Raw genomic sequence first — 1,896 nt, 5'->3', positions numbered from 1 at the left:
ACTGGGACAATGAAAAAGGTCTGACCCAACCTACTCCATTTTGCTTTTAACCTCTAAGCTGCCCTTGTTCATTTCCGGGCATTGGATGAATTAACTTTGGGAGTATCATAGTTTATAGTTTAGTTTTGAAAGAGATGATAACAGTCCCTCACAAAACAAACCCCCTTCCTGCCTGGGGACTTGACTGCCTAAAGCTATAGATTAGAAGTTATGGCTATTTCACTAAATAATTCAATATTTAGCTATTTTCATTGAATCAATATCAACCTCTTATTTATCAAAAATTATGCAAGCAAAGATAATTGTATTTTGGGCTGGGTTTATAGTTTTGTATCCCTTATGCCAAATTTTGACACCTTATAGTATTTGGCAGAGATAAGTATGAAATTGCTTGATCAATAAATGAAAATAAACATGTATGCTGAAAATTCTTAAGCCATTTCTACTGTTCTTTACCAATAATTTTAAAGCTAGATTATTAAAGATTTTACTTAAGTCACATGAACTTAAAAACCATTGGGGTTCATTATTTAATTGATGACTACTCACTAAGCCAATTTGGTACCTTGTGGCCAAAACACAACAAAATACATGTACGTACACATAAACACACACATACATTTTCATACACTAAAGATCCTATAGCTTTTACTTCAGAACTCTAGCCGTGAGATATTAATACAAACTTATTGGTCTGCGAAAACAGTAATGAAAAGGAATGGTTGGAGTCTAACAGTGGATTTTATCTTGGTCAAAAAGTAATAGCAGCTTTAAAGCAGGGAGAAAAAAAAACAGAGAAAAAGAGAACTTAAGAACTCTGTAGTTTGAAGGTCGATCTTAGTGCCCCTTTTCTTTCATGTAAATGTGCACAAAGACCATAATAATTCTATTTTAGACAAACTCTAACAAGTAGAGGTGCCATAAAACCAATGGAGTGCCCCAAAGGGGGTCATTCTCCTTGTTTTATCCTCGTTTTTAGATTATTAATTTCCCACTTTTCTTTTTCTTTTTTTTCTTAAAAGGAGGAACTGAGCTATGGCCTAGGGTTTTTGTGGTGTGTGCTGATTGTGGGTGGGACTCCATAGTGTGTTACCACTGAGTTGTTGCCACCCTCTTTCATGTCTCAGTTTCATTCTCTGGAGGTCTACCACCTCCAGGAGGGCTCAAAGCTCAGTGACCAGCTCCCATATGTGCTTCCTGGATGAGCCCTTTTTTAAACAAGTTTGATGGGGATTCTCCATAGGGCTGCTGCAAATCACAGGTGGTCAACCCTCTCTACACTCCCACGAGGCCCCTGGTCACCCACGGGTGCCTTTCAGCTGGGTGGAGCAAAATGTTCATTCTCTTCGAAGCTAAGAAAACTAAATCTCTCATTTACCTATGAAAACAACAGTTCAGCTTCTCACGCAAATGTGCACATACAAGCCAAACTGACATTAATTCTGGGAGAAAAAGCAATAGAGAAGACCCTTTAGAATGCATCTCCGAATTAAAAGTAGAATCCTTAAACAATAACTTCCTAGGAGAGAAAGAAAGGAAAAAAAAAGCCAAAACCACTTCCTGTAAACCACCTTCAGCCACCCCTAACTTTGGAGTTCTTGCCTACCATTATACACACCAAGGTCAAATCTTCTCACAGTACAAGGTAATCTCTAATAGCCCCAAAGCCAAAGAGGTCAAGTCATGCAATACAGGAGAGCAGAGCTTTAGACCTAAGAAGAATGTGCCCATGACTCTTGGAACTCCACAAAGAAAACAGAACATCCCAAAAGGGGTGAGTGGTGTCTTTGTTCTGAGTTCTCTAAGGAGTTTGAGTCATTAGAAGCCTTCTCTCTAGATTTTTCTTGGTACTGAAGATGACAAAGGGGGAAGGCGGTATGGGGTGGAAGAAAAGTA

The 1,896-nt window shown here is 38.6% G+C and overlaps 1 annotated feature.

Moving 5' to 3' along the window:
- Positions 1,210 to 1,399: an enhancer, noted in NCBI's record as "active region_20284". NCBI's record gives its function as "activates an Ori minimal core promoter by ATAC-STARR-seq in GM12878 lymphoblastoid cells {active_cell/tissue: GM12878}" and the evidence as "EXISTENCE:reporter gene assay evidence [ECO:0000049][PMID:35858748]".

The sequence above is a fragment of the Homo sapiens genome, chromosome 3, assembly GCF_000001405.40.
Source record: "Homo sapiens chromosome 3, GRCh38.p14 Primary Assembly".
Classification (NCBI taxonomy): domain Eukaryota; kingdom Metazoa; phylum Chordata; class Mammalia; order Primates; family Hominidae; genus Homo; species Homo sapiens.
Note: the sequence above shows the minus strand (reverse complement) of the source record. Positions and strands in the feature narration are given on the sequence as shown.